We start from the raw sequence: 18691 nt of genomic DNA, 5'->3' as shown, positions 1-18691 counted from the left end.
AATAATATTTATGGTTGTCATCTCATCTGAAACTGTGGAAGCTGGTTGACATTGGAACAACATATTTCAAGTGCTAAGAGAAAGTCTTTCAACTATATGTAAACCAGTAAAAAAAGAAACAAAAATAGTGTTTTTATAGATTTGAGAAAATACTGCATTCATAAGATGAAAAGAAAATGCCATGGGAAATTACTGATCCATATTGTATTTTGTTTACTTTTATTGTGGCACTTAGTATATTATGATTTGTATTGTAATTGTTTTTAGTCGTGTCTGTCTTAGCTCATGAGACTGTAAACTCCTGGAAGCCAGGAAGATGGTAATGACCTGTAACTGCTGAATGAATTTAAAGTGGATAGCCAGTTTTCTCTTAGCACGTCCCTTAGAACTCCTTTGAGCAGAACATTTCAGGTACGGTAGCTCCTGTGTTCTGACTGTAGATTGTATTTATGAGCTATTGAAGTTTGCTAAGTTTCCAGGGTAGAGAAAGTAGCGATAGAGTCATCCTTTGATGGGCTTTGTTTATTCTATGTAATGTGAAATTAAAACAAATTGTTCTAATAAATTTGTTCAGGGAAGTTTGTATTCAAGTATATAATCATGCTGGGTTTTAAAAATGTACACTTTGTCTTCGGTGAATCTAGGGACATCAAGTAAAAGCTCAGGCTCTTTCTGGATTGGGAAGAAGTAAGGAAGTGTTAAAGGAATTTCTCTACTGCCTTGCTCTGAATCCTGAATGTAACTCTGTGAAGAAAGAAGCACAGAAGGTATGAGTTCTGTTAAAGGACTTTCTCTATCAGGTCTTATTTATAGCCTTCATGTCCATGCTGAGTAACCCTTGCATGTGAAATAAACAAGAAATATAATTCTGAATGTTCGTGATAATGCAATAAAAAACGCATGGCAATAATTGTAAGGTTCATACATTGGATAACTTCTAGGTAAACATTATATTTTGTCCCTGGGTAAAGCAGAGTGTTTCATGAGACAGTGTAAACATGCCTCGATTCTGTTGACATAAAGACACATGTTAGGCAAGGTTATTATAGTTTGTGTAGAAGCTTCATAAAAGACATTATGATATATGTAAAATGTATCAATTCGGCTCTATAGGGTGACCTGTAATTTTCAGCAAAGGTTCACCAGCATAGTGCAGAAATACCTGCTCTTTTACCCATCATCCAGTCACACTGAATGTGGAAATCTGTCCTGTTAAAAAGCTTATACAATAGTTACCTGGTATTTACTTAGCATTTCCAATGACCAGCGTTTTTATGTTTTTATGTTTGCGCTTCCCTGTTTTAACACTGTTTATTGTCAACTTCTACCACGTATTTACCCTGTAATTTTTACTTACCTGTGTAGTTCTATTTTCTGGAGCAACAGAAAATGAATCAGTTCTTCCTTGTACAATTCAAACCACGTTAGATGTTTGGGAACAGCTATTATCTTTGCCTTAATGTCACCCTGTGGGCCAAACATTCTTTTCTCACAGAGTGGCGTTTCTAAGATTTCCTCTTCTGGATGTGTTCTAATGTACCCTGTGTTTTAGCATCTACATTTGACAGCCACAGTTGGTGAAATTTTACCTTCACTTGTGTTCACATTAGGGGCATGTTTATTTTTAAATACCTCGTTCCTCTTTTTTAAAAGTAAGAACTTCAGAGCAATGTTGTTTTTTATCTTCTCTTGTGCAATTGATTGGCGTTAGTCCCATTCAGTTGTCCTGACAGTTGTTCAATTGACCAGTATCACTCATTGGTTTTTGGCCATCATTTCAACTTGTCAAAATAATATTGCATCTTCAGCCTGCTATTCAGCTATCCCTGCCTGCTTTGTCCTATACGGAAACTTCCTAAGAATCTTAAAACATATCTCAACTGATTCTCATAACACTTTTCTGAGAAAGTCAGTCCAAGGTCAAAGAGATGAAGCACATTCACCAAGGTTCCTGGACCAGGGTTTAGGTCTTCTGGGTTGTTGTCTACCTGGAGCGTTTTCAGACATGGTGTTTTCCCCTGGACATTCTATGGCTGATAGATATCTTGTATCACAGACGGTACCAAAAACAATGTTAGCCTGTTCACATGGAATGTGGCTCCATCTCCAGCAGCTCTGTTGAGGCTGCTCAGAGCTGGGGCTGAGGACATTGATGTCCCTGCTGAGGGTGGTGGTGCGCATTGCTGCAAGGCCATGGATTCTAGCGCACTCACCTTGAACCATGAGGAACAGTGGAGAGTGGGAGGAGTCTTTGTTTAGGTTTCAGTCACTCCTTTCTGCTTTCCTCAAGCCTTGGATGCAGCTGAAGCCATGAGGTTTGACAGGACCATTTGAGTGTCTGCTAGCATTGGGTGTCAGCTAGAATGCCTAACTGGCCATTGCTGACCACCCTTCCCCTGCCCCCACCAATGCCATTCCCTGGTTCTTGAACCACAATTAGGGCCTTTCCCTCTCTCTTCCTTTAAAGTTCTTTACGAGGTGGGTCTTCTGGTTCTCATAAATAAAGCAGTTCTGTATAGTGACCTCAGCCCTGTGGGTGATCACAGCTTAGATTTAATTCAAGGCCCCCAGCAACCTTTACACTCCCTTTCTCTTTTATCTGTGTGGCTTTTAGGGGAGATTTTATATAGTGTGTAAGGACCAGGTAGAAGGAAGTGGTATTGCTATCATTTTGTCATTGGGAAGTGTAAGATGGAAAGGGATTGGAAGCTAAAATAACTTAAAATATTGACTCTGGTTTCAAAAATGTTTGGATTTTAAAAGGTTGGCAGTTAAAATTATTCTTTTCAACATTTTAGGCTTATTTGGCCTCTTAGTTTCCTCTGAATCTATAAGACATACTATATTTTTACAAAAGTGTTTTAAAATATATATTTTTTCTTTTCTTGGCAATTTTATAGGTAATGTGTGAAGTGCTGTTTTCAGCTACAGCAAATGTGCATGAAAATTTAACATCTTCCATCCAAAGCAGATTAAAGGCTCAGGGTCACAGCCACATGAATGCCCAGGCTCTGCTGGAAGAAGGTGATGCAGGGAGCTCGGAGGTATGACGTGCATGCATTTGTCAGGATTCTCTTGATTAAGCTTTACATAATGGCTTCATTTTAAACAGTTTACAGATTATTCACACATTATGGCATTATGTTAGTTAGACATATTTCTCAAGACCAGTTGTAGCTCCTCAACCTGGGAGTTGGAACTTTTACATGAAGTCTATGGAAGTAATGAAAATGATTAAAGATTGAAAGAAGCTTTAGAACACCACCAAATCACCCCAAACGGCAGGAGACTTGAAGTTATTTTGGCTTGGAGAAAATAAAGCAAAGGGACAAGTTAAAGGGGGCAGCACACCAACATGGCACATGTATACATATGTAACAAACCTGCACGTTGTACACATGTACCCTAGAACTTAAAGTGTAATTTAAAAAAAAATAAAGCAAAGGGATGATTTGAATATGATATATGATTTTATGTGTGTACGTGTGTATGTGTATGTGTGTGTGTGTGTAGATAGATAGACAGACAGACAGATTGCATATGAAGATAACTTTTCACTTGCCCTGGCTCAGGAAGAAATTATCCTGTATTTTACTGTGAAAAGAATAAAGCTCATCTTAGAAATTAACAGATGAAACCAATTATGAAGAAGAGTGTATGCCCCCCCCTTTTTTTTTCCAAAGATTTCTAGTACAGGCTTCTGCATTCTTTTTCTCTTATGCTATGATTTCTTTAATACTCAGGATTCCTTTTTTTCCCACTTAACCAGAATTCATCTGAGAAATCTGATATGCTTGGAAATACCAATTCTTCAGTTTTGTATTTTATACTGGGTCTACACTTTGAAGAGGATAAAAAGGCGTTAGAAAGCATCCTTCCAACAGCACCCAGCGCTGGCTTAAAGAGACAGTTTCCGGATGACGTGGAGGATGCACCTGACCTGAACGCCCCTGGAAAAATTCCCAAGAAAGGTCAGTGAACTGTTTTCATCAGGCAGTTCTGTGACTCCAAAGTGATAGAATGTTAACTAGTATTCAATATATTTTTTAAATTTTTACAACATTTAATATTAGTAATGAAATGATTATATCAGCTCTAAGATTATAGAGCATTTTAGATGTTTTATACTGCAAAGACTTCATAGTCAAAAATAGCAGAGAAAATTTAGCTATAATTTAAAATTTTATTCATGCTTACCATCCAGATAAATTATTGCTGTATGCTGTTAACTGGGCAGGAACTATTTCTGCCCAGTGTGATTTGTTACATTGATACAACACGTTTGGTCCAGAGAAAATACATTTCTTGCATGCTGTTGTTCAGGTGCTTAGGTGTTAATTACAGCGTTTTAAATTTTTTCGCATTCAGATCTCTCACTTCAAAGGAGCCCAAACTCTGAGACAGAAGAAAGTCAGGGGCTCTCGCTTGATGTAACTGACTTTGAGTGTGCCCTCTGCATGAGGTAGGATGGTACAGAATCCGTGCAACTCTTTTAAAACTGCAGCCTTTCTGAAATGTATACCAAAGTGTAATGGGCTTTTTATTATCACGGAAACTAGGGAGAGCTCAGTAATAATTGATTTATTTTCTAAAGATTTAATAAGATATAAAATGAAAGTGCATGCAAGTGATTTCTAGAACAGAAAGGGGATTGCATAAGGAATCCTTCAAAAACCAGTCCATGATTTGAAAGTCTGTCCTGGACATTTCTGGCTGAAAACAGATATTTTCTTCCAGATTGCTCTTTGAACCTGTCACTACGCCCTGTGGACACACATTTTGCCTAAAATGCCTTGAGCGCTGCCTTGACCACGCCCCACACTGTCCTTTGTGCAAAGACAAACTTTCGGAAGTAAGTACACTTTAGGAAATGACGGGACAGCTCCTCCTCTCATCCCTTGGTGGACGCTTACTCCCTGTCTCGTGTTGCTTCCCCCACCCAGTTGTTAAAGAAACTGAGATTTCTCCAATCAAAGATAGGTCTTTTCTCATCTCTTTGATGAATCAAGAAATACACAAGGAAGGTTGACATACAGAAATTGCTAAATGTTAAGGACATTTTTAGGTAGAAATTTTAGTTGAGATAGATTGAAAATAGCTAACATTATGAACCCTACATTACGTTCATTGTAAATGGTTGAGACGTTGTCATGGTGCACTTAATGTGCTCCAGGAATTCTCTTTTTCATCTTGAGAGTTTTTCGTAGGATTGAAGACTTGATCATTTCTGACCACAGGTGAGTCCCTTTAGGGCTTTTACAGTTGTCAGTTATTATTGTCTTTGGTCTGAAATCAAAACCAGTAAAATTCAGGTCCCATGGGGAAGCTATTTAATGATATTTAGCCCCAATATAAACTATTAAATCCAGGTTCCATGGGGAAGCTATTTAATGATATTTAGCCCCAATATAAACTATTAAATCCATTTACGTTAGGTATGGTAAATACAATGAAGAGTATTTAAAAGCTGAAGACCTTCTGATCAATTCCTGAAATAGTGAATCCATATCAGCTGTATTGGGCTGTGGTCCTATTAGTGCCATGAACTTTCTATGGAGCAAGTCATATAACATCTTAAGGGGGTGGGGAGTATCTTCCTTTGTTTTGCATTCATTAAATGAGACTGATAATATTTGCCTTAATTACTTTCCAGAGATTAAACTTATTGAATGCATTTTAAGTAGGATAAAGTTTTTTTTTCTTTTTACAAACGTACAGTAAAATTTATTTTTTAAATCTGATGTGATAAGATGAGATATTATACTTAAGTGAAGTTTTAAATAATTATAACCTTTAAAATTTACTGCCAAAACATTAAAATAACTAGTTACAATTGAAAACATTTTCTAAAACATTGTATGCACATACTTGCTTTATTAAATTGCATGCATACTGAATCTTTTTAAATTCTTCAGAGTTCTCGTGAACATCAATTATTGTGCTGTGCGCTGTGTGTCACAGTGGTGACTGTGCTCTGAGTCTGCAGAGCTGTTTCCTTGGTGGCCCCTGTGCAGTTTTCCTCTGGGCATTTGCTGTCTCTTCTTGCTAGTAGATGCATCGGACCCACTGCCTCTTGTTTTGGTGCCTGCCTGGGCCAGAACAGGCTCATCTGTTCTTACAAGAATAAAATGCATGTATGTGTGAGCCCTGTTTACAACACAGACCTTACTCACTTCTGTTTCGATGCTGCCTTGTAGGGGGCTGAGTGAAGAAGTGATAGCTGGAGGTCGTCACTAGAATAGAAGCTGCTTGGCCGGGTGCAGTGGCTCACGCCTGTAATCCCAGCACTTTGGGAGGCTGAGGCGGGTGGGTCACAAGGGCGGGAGATAGAGACCATCCCGGCTAACACGGTGAAACCCCGTCTCTACTAAAAAAAAAATACAAAAACAAAATTAGCCAGGTATGGTGGCGGGCACCTGTAGTCCCAGCTGCTCGGGAGGCTGAGACAGGAGAATGGCGTGAACCCGGGAGGCGGAGCTTGCAGTGAGCCAAGATTGCGCCACTGCACTCCAGCCCGGGCGACAGAGCGAGACTCTGTCTCAAAAAGAAAAAAAAAAAAGAATAGAAGCTGCTTAAGTACTGAGACTTCCTATGACCTGTTTTCCCTGTATTTCCAGGGACTAGCACATGCACCAGAGACTCTAGAAGTCTTTGTTGAATGAATGAATGAATGATTACATGCAAACTATACATGGGTTCCTAATGTTCCAGAAATTAGAATGCTATAAAGTGAAATAAAATCCAAAATTATAGTTTTGTCTTTCTTCAATGCGGGAGTCACATCATGCACATAAATGACTTTGCATGCACTACCAGGGACCTGAATCATCAATTATATATGAATCTCCAGAACCCTTGGCTAGCATCATGCCAAGTAGAGCATGTTTTATTGTATTACTCTTCAATAAAAGGACATCATAAACCATTTATTAAATACCTATGTCATTAATAATGACAATTATGAAGCAGTTTTGTGAGTGAGATGATAGCCTGTTTCTCTACCAGTTACCCTGTGATGGTGGTTCTCAAACATAGGCGTTTCCAAAGTTTGAACTCCTGGTTCTCAGTCAATCACAGCAATACATTTAGTTTGTTTCACACCAACCACAAGGAAACCTGGCAGTATGCGAAGGACTCACCCAGCCATGGTGTGTTGGAAATACGTGGAGCCATCCCAAGCCCAGAAATGCAGCAGGCCACCAAGGAAAGAGCAGAGCCCTGAAGCCCGCCAGGCCTGGGGTCCTCGCTATGCCATGGTGGCTCAGCACTGACCCCTTACCCTTTCTGAATCACAGCTTTATGAGCGCAGTGGAGAGAACAACTATAGTATTATACTGTTTTCAGGACTAATAAAGCACCTGCAGTGGTCCCTGATGTGCATCAGAATGTCAGTGAAAAGAGCTACTATATGCTAGTATACATGCCTGCAATAAAACAGTGCAACCTACCAAACTACTAATCTGTGTGCACACATACACACGCGCACACACACACACGCAGAGTAGTAGTTCAGCCACATTGTGGCCCTTCCACCCACCGATCCCAGCACTTTCTTGTTCAGTCTCCTACCTTCCCTTCACATCCCGCTTTAATCCATGGTCCCTCTCTCTCTTTCTCAATCCAAAAAAAGTCAACCTTTGCCTTTTGCATGCATCCTAAGTAATACAACAAAGCTAGAAAAAAACATAATGTTGGGAAGATTGGTGTCAGTTTAAATGAAAAATTTTAAGTCTTAGACTCAAAACATAAGTAATCATTCTTACATTCTTTCTCTAGTAGTTCCAGTTCTTCACTTTCCAAGCTGATCATTGCAAAAGTCTCTCCTCTCCCAACATGCCCTACTTCACTTCCTCCCCTCTCACCAACATCATGGCACTTGGTTGAAAATGTAGATGCTGTCAAGATTGAGTTGCCTCATCCTTCATCCAGGTGAACGCCTCCTCCTGGCCTTTTCTCACAGTGGAGGGGCTGCCCCTGCTCTTGTTACAGGCTGGCCCGCCTCTCTCTCCATCCCTTTTCCTTCTTACCTGCTCAGAGATCCCACCCACCACCTCCTTGTTCACCTTTCCACTCGGAAGCTTCGTCCTTTAGAATCAATTACCATACAGTATCATTTGACTTTTTTTTGTTACAGTTATTGGCAAGCAGAAACTTTAACATAACTGTTCTGGCCGAAGAATTAATATTTCGATATTTGCCGGATGAATTGTCTGATAGGAAGAGAATTTATGATGAAGAAATGTCAGAACTGTCAAAGTAAGTGCTCATGTTGTGTGTCCTTGGTCTTAAGTTCAGATTGAACTTTGTCAACTTCAGCTTCACCTCAGATTTTCTTTTCATGGCAGAGAACTCTCTTGGTCTGTAAATGGAAAAGGATGTTAATTGCAAAATATTTTTGGAAACATAATTGCAAGCAGTTATAAGAATTTGTTTTCTTTTTTTATAAGATATTTTTAAAGTGTTTTAACAAAATTGTATAGTTGCTTTTTGTATGTAAATAAGTGATACTGAATTTTTCAGGATTTAAAAAGCAAAGAAGGCTAGGCACAGTGGCTCATGCCTGTAATCCTAGCATTTTGGGAGGCCAGTGCAGGAGGATTGCCTGAGCTTAGGAGTTCAAAACCAACCTGGCCAACATAGCAAGACCCCACCTCTATATTAAAAAATTATTATAAATAATTAAAAATAATTTATATATTAAAAATAAATAAAAGGCAAATAATATAAATGTATTTGTTACTGATGAACTGTACACTTAAGAATAGCAAATTGTATACGTATATTTTACCTCAAAAAATTTTTAATGTAATGTCTGCAAAGTGGAGTAAAGTGAAGCACAGTTTTAAAAAGTAGAGAGAATGAGAACTAATACCCAGGATTGCGAATCACAGCAGGCTTGACAGTTTTCATCTTTTAAAATGGTAAAAGTTTTGTATTTTAGTAGCGATCTTATCACTCTTCCACTCTTCTAAAACTCATTGCCTTTGACTACTATGTAGTTTTTGCTTTTATCAGAATTTTTTTAGAGTGCTTAAAAGGTATAACTTTTCCAAGCAAAGTAATATAATTCAGCATGTTCTCTTTCCTCAAGTTAAATAAGACAGATTTGTCAGGAAACCTGGGTGAGCAGAGAATTTTCACATGCTATGGTCCTTGGCTTTCTTGTCCCTCTTAGCCTGAGGGTTTTGTTTTGTAGAGGGGAGAACTGAGGTTGGCTGGCTTTTGCTGTTTTGGTGGCCAGTACCACCCTCTGATCTAACAGCTCATACATCTGAGATAACATGTCCCCTTGCTCTGCAGTCTGACCAGAGACGTCCCCATCTTTGTGTGTGCCATGGCCTTCCCCACGGTCCCATGTCCACTCCACGTTTTTGAGCCCCGCTATCGGCTTATGATAAGAAGATGCATGGAAACTGGCACCAAGCGGTTTGGCATGTGTTTATCTGCTGAGCACGCGGGGTAAGAACTGTTAGCATTTGGTTCAAAGGGTCCTAATGAAGGGCATCGTTTGTCATTTTTCTTGCAGAATGATTTAGGCTGATGCTTGAAAACCTCCAGTGGCTCCCGTTACGTAACAAAGTCCAAGTTCAAGGCTGCCCACAATGCAGTCCCATCCCTTCTTTCTAGCCTCACTGCCCACCTCTTCCTTTCAAGTATCACACCCACTAGTCCATTGCCATGCTACTTGCCCTTCTCTTGTGACAGCTCATGCTTCCACACCTCTGTGCTTCCCTCTGCCTGCAATTTTCTTTATCCCCATTTATATACAAACAAATCTAGTCCAACTTCTGAGGTCTAGGAAAATTGCGGCTGGGCTTGGTGGCTCACGCTTGTAATCCCAGCACTTTGGAAGGCTTAGGTGGGAGAATCGCTTGAGCCCAGGAGTTGGAGACCAACCTAGGCAGCATAGGGAGACCCCATCTCTACAAAAACATTTTAAAAAGAAAAATGTCTATATCCTGCGCAAAGCTTTTTCTCTGTCTCTACAGCCAAATCATTTTCAGTCTTACAAAAACACACTAAGCTTGGTTTTCACCTCCCCTCGTTTCACGTCTTTGTCCAGAGAGGGTGTTGCAAGCCAGCAGGTCATTCCCCTCTGTGGACTGATTTGGGGACTCAGGACCCTCCCATCCCTTAGGGCCTTGTCAGCCCTACATAGTCATGATGAGGTCACTGCATTCAAGTGCTAGCTATGGAGGAGGTGCACATGCTCTTAAAGGACTCTGGAGAAAGGGGGCTGCCTCCTGTTCACACCTGCTGCAAAGGAGCCTGGCAAATATAGTCCACCTACGTGCCCAGGAAGAAGAGGAGACTGCATTTTTAGGGCCACTCAGAATTTTCCACCATAAATATCTAGGGACAGATCTTTTTAAAATATGTGTAGGACCTTTATGGAGAAAATTCTGAAATTTTATTGAAAGATAAGAAGTTCTGAATCAAAGGAGAGAAATGCCATGTCCGTTGGTGCACAGACTCAATGCTGTAGAGATGCCATCTCTATCCAGTTCCACAAATCCAGAGTAATTCCTGTCAGCATCTCCAGGAAGCTTCTTCATGGACTTGCTCAAGCTGATTTTAGAATCCGTGTAGAAAAGCAAAAGACTAAGCCCAGATCTGGCTGAACAAACAGGAGAACATTCCTGTAATATCAAGTTTACAAGCCTTAGTAAGTAGACCAGTGACACAATAATGTAGAGATCCGAAACAGGTCCACTCATATGTGGACGCCAAATTTATAGACAATTGTATGAGAAAAGACAAACTACTCAGTAAAGGGTGCCCAGAAAATTAGTGGGTGGTCCAAATGAGAGGGGGGGAAAAAGCTTTACCTTATGCCATAAATAAAAAAATAACACATTTGCATTCCTAATGTGAAATGTGAAAAACAAAATATAAAAACATTTAAGAGGAAATATTGGGGACTGCCTTTATAATTAGGAGTGGGGAAAGATTTTTTATACAAGGTGCTGAGAATACATAACAGAGGGAGAGATTAGTAAATTAGAATATATGAAAATTTGATTAAAGTCAGCAAAGAGAAAAAATAAGCTATAAGAGTTCCACGTGCACTGAGAATATAGAACACTGAAAAGAATGTTATTCCCATCCAAACAACAAGAAAAACAAGAAAAAACAGATAAACCACAGAACATGTATTTCTTGAAGCCATCAGAGAGTGAAGGTTGCTCAGGGTAACCAAACAAGATCCCACAGGGAGAGAGTAGGCAGAGCCCAGGAAGAGACATAAAAGTGTGTAGGAAGAATTCAGCTATTTTTCTTTTTTTAAACAAATTGCTAATGACCTTGTGTGGGCTGGCATCAGAGTGCAGGTCTGGAGAGCTGCACTCACGAAGGGAGTTTGCATCACACACAGGCTCCTGTCCACAGATAAGAGGCTCCTTGATGAGTCATGCCCTGCAGCAAGGCAGGCTTGGAGGAGCTGACATTTGTCTGGAGGCCTCTGCTGGTTGCTGGGGCATTCAGTCCTCCCTTGAAGAGGAATCTTCAGGGCGCCTCCAGTTTCACCATGCTATGAATGAGATCATCCTGTTAGATACCAGGAAGAGAGAGTTTTATTAAGTATATAAGTAGAGGCATCCAGGTGGCAGTTTGAATCATCGCTGCTCTTTAGTTTGGGGGACGTGTAGTAAAGCTGCTCACCATGAGAACTTTAGAATCACACTGCCATGAGTTCTCATTTTGGCTCTAAATCTCCCTGTGGCCTTAGAGAAGTTAATTCCTCTGAGCCTCCGTGTTTTGTGGGCTTGAATTCGTATATATTATAAACTGCTGTGTGTGGTGCTTGGCACGTGGTAGCGTGAGAACATCACTAGGTTACGGGTGATAGTTACAGTCAGAGTGTGGGTAAGAGCTGGGGAGAGCTTTGGAATGAGAATAGACATAGCCTAGAATACCACCCTGGGCAGCATGGAGCAGGAGGGACATGCAGAGGTAGGGGCTGTGAAGGGCCGGGCTGGTTAGAGAGGGTTCAGGAGAGCAGAAGCATTAGCTCAGCAACAGTCTGCAGGGCCGTGCCTTAGGGAGGTCAGACAGGAGCCTGTCAAGTGATTTGAGCAATTCAGAGGGCATCTCTGACTTCTTTTGGAGTCATTTTAATGGAACGGTAGGATATGGAGGAGTGAGGGGGAGGCAAGGAGATGAAGGCAGTGGCCGGGGACTGCTTTCCACGGCACTTTGGTTGGGGAGGGCAGAGCTGGCAGAATTGGAATGAGGTGAAGACCTTGTGGGCGAAGGCAGGAGGGAGGAGGAGCGGAGTGCCTTTGAAGGTGGAGGACTTGCTGCCCCAGCAACCAGCACCAGCAGAGGCCTCCAGATAAACGTCAGCTCCTCCAAGCCTGCCTCACTGCAGGGCATGACTCATCAAGGAGGCTCTTATCTGTGGACAGGATCCTGTGTGTGATGCAAACTCCCTTTGTGAGTGCAGCTCTCCAGACCTGCACTCTGGTGCCAGCCCACACAAGGTCATTGGCAATTTGTTTAAAAAAAAAATAGCTGAATGCTTCCTACACACTTTTGTGTCTCTTCCTGGGTTCTGCCTACTCTCTCCCTGTGGGATCTTTGTTTGGTTACCCTGAGCAATCTCCACCCTCTGGTGGGTTCAAGAGACATATGTTTTGTGGTTTATCTGGTTTTCCTTGTCGTTTTTCACATTCTTTTTAGTGTTCTATATTCTCAGTGCACATGGAACTCATAGCTTGTTTTTTCACTTTGTTGACTTTTGATGAATCAAATTTTAAGTGTGGGCTTGAATTCATATGTATTATAAACTGCTCCGTGTGTTGCTTGGCACGTGGTAGCATGAGAATATCACTAGGATAAGGGTGATAGTTACAATCGGAGTGTGGGTAAGAGCTGGGGAGAGCTTTGGAAAGCCGAGTGTGTGCGTGGCACCAGCTGGGCAGTCCTGATGGTGCCCCGCCAAGGTGGCTGAGGAGCCACATTTGAGATTTCATCTCTTCCCATCTCTCGGGTCCTTCCCAAAACACTAGCCCGTTGGAACCGCTAAGGCACAAGTCCTGTCTCACCTGGAGCCCTTCCCCTGCAGCCACCATCACCACTATATTTAACATCTAACAGAAGCGACCATGTGCACGTGTCTCTTAGCGACAATAACCTTGCTGGTCTGATGTGGAGACACTGTTTTGTGTGGCTTTGTATTCCTTTTAAAAGTAAACTCTCATCCAGGGAAAAAGAAGGCCCCCTGCATTTTAAAAATCACAGTCATTTCTCCTAACTGTCTTTTCAGGCTTTCAGAGTATGGATGCATGCTGGAGATTAAGGACGTGAGAACGTTTCCTGATGGAAGTTCTGTTGTAGACGCGATTGGCATCAGTCGGTTCCGAGTGCTAAGCCACCGCCACAGAGATGGCTATAACACAGCGGACATTGAATATCTTGAAGATGAAAAGGTAAGGCTTATCATACTGGTGTATTTTATAGCAGTCGGTCCTCTCGCTTCCCTTTGCATTGTGGAAAAGCTTTGTCAAACTTGTACTGACAATATTACTTAAGTCCTTAATTCATCACTTAAGTTATTTATTTATCTATTTGTTTATTTTTGAGTCAAGGTCTTGTTCTGTCGTGCAGGCTAGAGTGCAGCAGCATGATCTTGGCCCACTGCAGCCTTGACCTCCCAGGCTCAAACGATCCTCCTGCTTTAGCCTCCCGAGTAGCTGGGACTGTAGGTGCACACCACCACACATGGCTAATTTAAATTTTGTTTGTCGTTGAAACAGAGTCTCCCTGTGTTTCCCAGGCTGGTCTCAAACTCCTGGGCTCAAGCAGTCCTCCCACCTCAACCAAAGTGTAGTAGCCCCAAAGTGCTGTGACTACAGGCATGAGCCCCTGCCTTCAGCAGTTATTTATTTTCTCAGTGGATTTTTACCTGAGTTGGGAGCTGGTACAGAAATCTCCTTTTAAAAAAATGATCTGGCCAGGCATGGTGGCTCACGCCTGTAATCCCAGCACTTTGGGAGGCCAAGGTGGGCAGGTCACGAGGTCAGGAGATTGAGACCATCCTGGCTAATACGGTGAAACCCTGGCTCTATTAAAAATATAAAAAAATTAACCATGTGTGGTGGCGGGCACCTGTAGTCCCAGCTACTTGGGAGGCTGAGGCAGGAGAATTGCTTGAACCTGGGAGCTGAAGGTTGCAGTGAGCTGAGATCGTGCCACTGCACTCCAGCCTGGGCGACAGAGCAAGACTCCATCTCAAAAAAAAAAAAAAAAAAAAAAAGACCTTATTGTACTTATGCAACATGTAAACCTGCGCATTGCAAAATAGGCTTTTGATTTGTATTTGATGCTGTAGCCCTGGAGCTGGCAAACTTTTTCTGTAAAGGGCCGGCTAATAAGTACTTTAGACTCCAGAGGCCATGTGGTCTCTGTCGAAGCTACCCAGTTCTGCCCTTGTAGTGCAAAAGCAGCCATAGACAATGTGTAAAGGCATGAGCATGACTGGTTTCCGTTAAATGTGACTTCCGGAAACATGGTGGTGAGCACGGTTTGACTCATGAACAGCAGTCTGTCAGTCCCTGTTCTCTAGGTTGGTATTAATTCAGAATGTGACAAAATCTACAACTTAAAAAATACCTCCCAAAGCTAAATATAAAAGACTTGAATTTATTAACCCTTAAGAATTTTTTCATGTGTCTAATAGAAATATCAGGACATATAATTTGACAAATTAGCAAAATGTTTTGAGAGATTCTCCAACAGACTTACACAAGGATGTCCATAACAGTCTTACTCCATTATAGCCCCAAACCAGGAACAGCCCAGGTGCTGATCACACTTGAGTCAGTAAACACATTGTGGTCCATTCATGCAATGGAATACTACCTGTCAATAAAAAGAAATGAACCACTCGTGCATGAAACAATATGGATGACTCTCACAGACATTATGCTAAGTGAGAGAAGCCAGACACAGGACGAACACATACCGCGTGGCTTCATCTGTATACTTCCAGGAACAGGCAAAACTAGAGTCTGGGGACAGAAGTCAGAAAAGGCTTGTGGGGTTGGCTTTGTAATTGACTGGAGGGAGTGGTGAAGAATCTTTCTAAGTAGTGGAAATGTCTATCTGGTTTTGGGTGATGGTCAGACTGGTGTATACAGTTGAGAAAACTCTTTGAGCTCAACAAGATCTATGCACTTTTTGGTCTGTAAATTATACTGCAGCAAGAAATTTTAAAATACTTAAAAGGAGGAAATCCTTGGAATTATTGTATCCCTCTTTTAAATTCTTTGGTTGACATTTGGAATTGTGGAAGTGAGGGTACGTAGCCACCCCACATCACACTGGAAGTCATTTTGGGGGCAGTGGTGTACACTTAGGATTTGTGAATGGAGTCACACCCAGGACACTGTCTCTGTGCCTCCTCCAGCTGCTGTTTCTGGTCATCCCAGTGCATGGGAGCAGAGCAGGGAGCCCAGCTCCCAGGCTGGACCAGAAAGCTGGGTTTCAAAGCTACAGCTGAAAGTGATAATTCTCAGGGTCTCTCTGTGGGATGGATAGACCTGACGGCAGGGTTTATTGACCGTTGTTGTAGATGACAGCTTTTAATAGTGTATGCGCTTATTTTAAATGGGGGCTTAAATAGCTACAACATGAAATAATTTTAGCTTATTTTTATAAGAAAATCCTCTATCACATATGAATATTTGATTTGTATAAATCAAATTGAGGGTGGTATATGCATTATATTATAATTTCTCAGCACACCGTAGTTTTTGTAGGTACTGGAATTTTGTAACAGGAAAGGACCTTCATGGTTTATTCCTATTATGCAGATGAGAAAACTCTGCCCTAACGAGGCTGTGAGACTGGCTAGATTCACACATGAGAGTTGGTGATGAAGCCAGACCAAACCCTGGCCCCGTGATTCCCAGTCCCATGCTCTTCCTCCTCTACCAGGTGTTCCTGAACAGGACTGAGGCGTAATTTAAATGACAGATGTGATAGTGACATAGGGACCAGAGGCCAAGCTTGGTCAGTCTAAGGTGCTGTGGCCGACCACAAGCTGGAGTCCATCAGCCCAGGCCAATGTAATGAGTGTAGTCTTGCCCTGTCGTGCCTTTAGGAATATAGTTTGGTGATATGGAATACAATTTTTAAAATGTCACCCTTTGACTTGGTAATTCTGTCAAGGTCTCTAGGAAACTACACTGAGGAAACCATACCTCCCTCCCTTGTCAAAAAAGCAAAACAAAACAAAACAACTTTTCCATAAATGTTTATATTATTGTGTTATTTTTAAAAATAAAAAAGCTAGAATATTCTAAATAACTTACGTGAATAGTTAAGTAAATTGGCATGTATCTCAAATATATAATTGCATGCAGCCATTGAACATTATTCAAAATTACAGGAAATGTGCTTATATTATGGTATTAAGAGAAAAATCAGGATACAATTGATAGATTTCAACTATGCAAAAAATGCAGATTTCTATATTGAGCATGTACCATTTTTGTGAAACTGATGAATTATTAAAATGCTAACTGCCACAAATCCACTTAGTGGAGGTGCAGAGGTCGCTGACTGTGTTACGTGCATTACTGTGAATGGTTCACACAGCTGTGCCTCTTTCCCTGATCAGGTGGAGGGTCCAGAGTATGAAGAACTTGCCGCTCTCCACGATTCTGTGCATCAACAGTCTGTTTCCTGGTTCGCGTCTCTCCAGGATCGCATGAAAGAACAAATTTTAAGTCATTTTGGGGTAATGCCAGACAGAGAACCTGAGCCTCAGGTATGCCCTCCCTTTTTCCTTTATAATTCTGTTACTTCCTGCTGTAGTGTGCTGAGCCATCATTCTGGTGGAGAGCTTGGCAGTATGATGCTGGTTACCCCAATGTGGTTGCTTATGAACCAGTTCATCTACTAACAGCCCAAAGGAGCACCTACTGTGGTAGCACATGACTTGTGAAGCAAAACAACAAAGGCTCTCTAACAGAACATAATTTCTTTTCTAACAACAATCAGTTTATTCTGCTTGGCTGTCAGCTTTTGTAGCCTTTTGCTTCTTTCACTCACATCTTAAAATTTAAGTAGTAACTTTATTGTATTGGCATGAACATTCCACGTTTGGCGCATAGCATTGCCTTGCACCTGGTATAGAGATGTTGAATAAGTGAAGAGAAAAATCCCATCATTCTTGTGACATTAGTAGCGTGACTTCCTTGTCCTCTAAGTACCCTGCTGCCCAGCTGTCATGGGCTTTCTCTGGTGCTCCCTACAAGTACTTTTGGTGAAGCTGGTTCTTTAAGCAATGAATGAGCTTAGGTTTGTGGAGCATTTCTAAGCTCAGGTGGGCCTCTCCTCTGCATTAGATGGGAGAGCCAGGCTGGGCTGGTTTAAGATTGTGCCTGAGAGTGTATACCTCCCACCTGTACATGGATGCTCAGCTGTCAAAGACAGTAGGGGAGGGGGATTGGCTCTCAGCTGGTTTAGGGTGATGTGAAAGGTCTTTTCCCATCCATTTTAACTTTTTTTTTCTGTCTCTTGGAGCTTCTATCTTTTACCCCCTGCCTGAATTCTTTTTTTTTCCAAACACAGAAAAATGCTTTAACTGCCAGAAATTGCCATTAAGTCCTTCCTGGCTTGCCCTTTTTGCATAAGCCTTTGTTCTGCAGTATCCTGGAACTCAGATTCAGAAAGCATGGTGGTTACACTGACTTGCATTAGGATATGAGTCATTCTTTTTCCTAGGAGTTGTTGTTTATTAACCAAATTAATCAATCTCTACTTGGCGGGTATATTAGCTTCCTACTACTGCTGTTAAGAAATTTCACGAACGTGGTGGCTTAAAACAACACATATGTATTATCTTTCACTCCTGGTTCTGCAGGCCAGACTATGATCAGGGTGATGGCAGCATGCGTTTCTCTTTGGAGGTTGTGGGGGAGAGTCTGTTTCCTTGTCTCTGCAGCTTGTAGAGGCTGGCGGCATTCCTCGGCTTCCTTCCTCCATCAGAGCCAGCAATGTTGCTTCTCTCCGACCGTTCTTCCAAAGCCACATGTCCCTCTGACCACAGCCCAGACAGGACCCTATATGAACACATTGGGCCCATCAGGATAATCCCCCCATCCCAAAGTCCTTAACTGAATCACATCCTCCAATTCCCTCTGCCATATAAGGTACCATATGGGGGACCATTTTTCTCATGACTACAGAGGGATTTTAGGTAATACATCAATTTTTATATGAGGTCCTTCCCATTAAGCGTGCTACTCAGTTTTTTTCTTTCTCTGTGAGATGAGGCAGGGAAAAGAGTGTGAATCTGTATAAAAGGTTGTTTTCTCCATCTGTGCCTTTCTACCTCTGAAGGGCAGGTTGATGTCTTCCTCACAGTGACTTGGGCTACCCCTGGTGAGCTTTGGCCACAGTGCTATTCCTAGTCCTCCAGCATAATCTACCTCACCCTAAACTAAGGTGACTCCAGAGTTCACCCTCCCAGCTCTTATCGGCATCCTGCACATTTTTGGAGAAGGAATAGAGTGAAGAATCCTAGACCCTGGAAACAAAAAGGCCTGGATATCTTGGTTCCAGTACTAAGAATATTGAGAACGAGTTTATGATCGGCTTTTGCCTAGCACTTAGTCTAGAAGTGCTTTGTTTGATTATGTGAAATAAAGGTTATTTGGTGGCATAATAATTCTTATATATA

At 41.6% G+C, this 18691-nt stretch overlaps 1 protein-coding gene across 4 annotated transcripts in view, besides 1 other annotated feature; it reads left to right on the top strand.

Annotated features, from left to right (window-relative positions):
- LONRF2 (LON peptidase N-terminal domain and ring finger 2) overlaps positions 1–18691 on the top strand; it is a 50627-nt gene that overhangs the window by 18814 nt on the left and 13122 nt on the right. For 3 of the 4 annotated variants that reach the window (NM_198461.4, NM_001371783.1, XM_047443537.1), the window contains 9 exons: positions 645–767; positions 2901–3044; positions 3770–3971; positions 4369–4462; positions 4738–4852; positions 8135–8256; positions 9301–9459; positions 13268–13430; positions 16625–16774. In NM_198461.4, coding sequence (NP_940863.3) covers positions 645–767; positions 2901–3044; positions 3770–3971; positions 4369–4462; positions 4738–4852; positions 8135–8256; positions 9301–9459; positions 13268–13430; positions 16625–16774 — 1272 coding nt within the window. Of the gene's footprint in view, positions 1–644; positions 768–2900; positions 3045–3769; positions 3972–4368; positions 4463–4737; positions 4853–8134; positions 8257–9300; positions 9460–13267; positions 13431–16624; positions 16775–18691 lie in introns of those variants that run through there. The other variant, XM_047443538.1, reaches the window with a different exon arrangement.
- Positions 12117–12757: an enhancer, noted in NCBI's record as "H3K27ac-H3K4me1 hESC enhancer chr2:100907393-100908033 (GRCh37/hg19 assembly coordinates)". NCBI's record gives its function as "activates a minimal SCP1, AML or CMV promoter by ChIP-STARR-seq in naive H9 embryonic stem cells {active_cell/tissue: H9 hESC(naive)}" and the evidence as "EXISTENCE:reporter gene assay evidence [ECO:0000049][PMID:30033119]".

Source organism: Homo sapiens, chromosome 2 (genome assembly GCF_000001405.40).
Source record: "Homo sapiens chromosome 2, GRCh38.p14 Primary Assembly".
NCBI lineage: Eukaryota > Metazoa > Chordata > Mammalia > Primates > Hominidae > Homo > Homo sapiens.
This window is presented reverse-complemented; position numbering and strand designations above follow the sequence as displayed.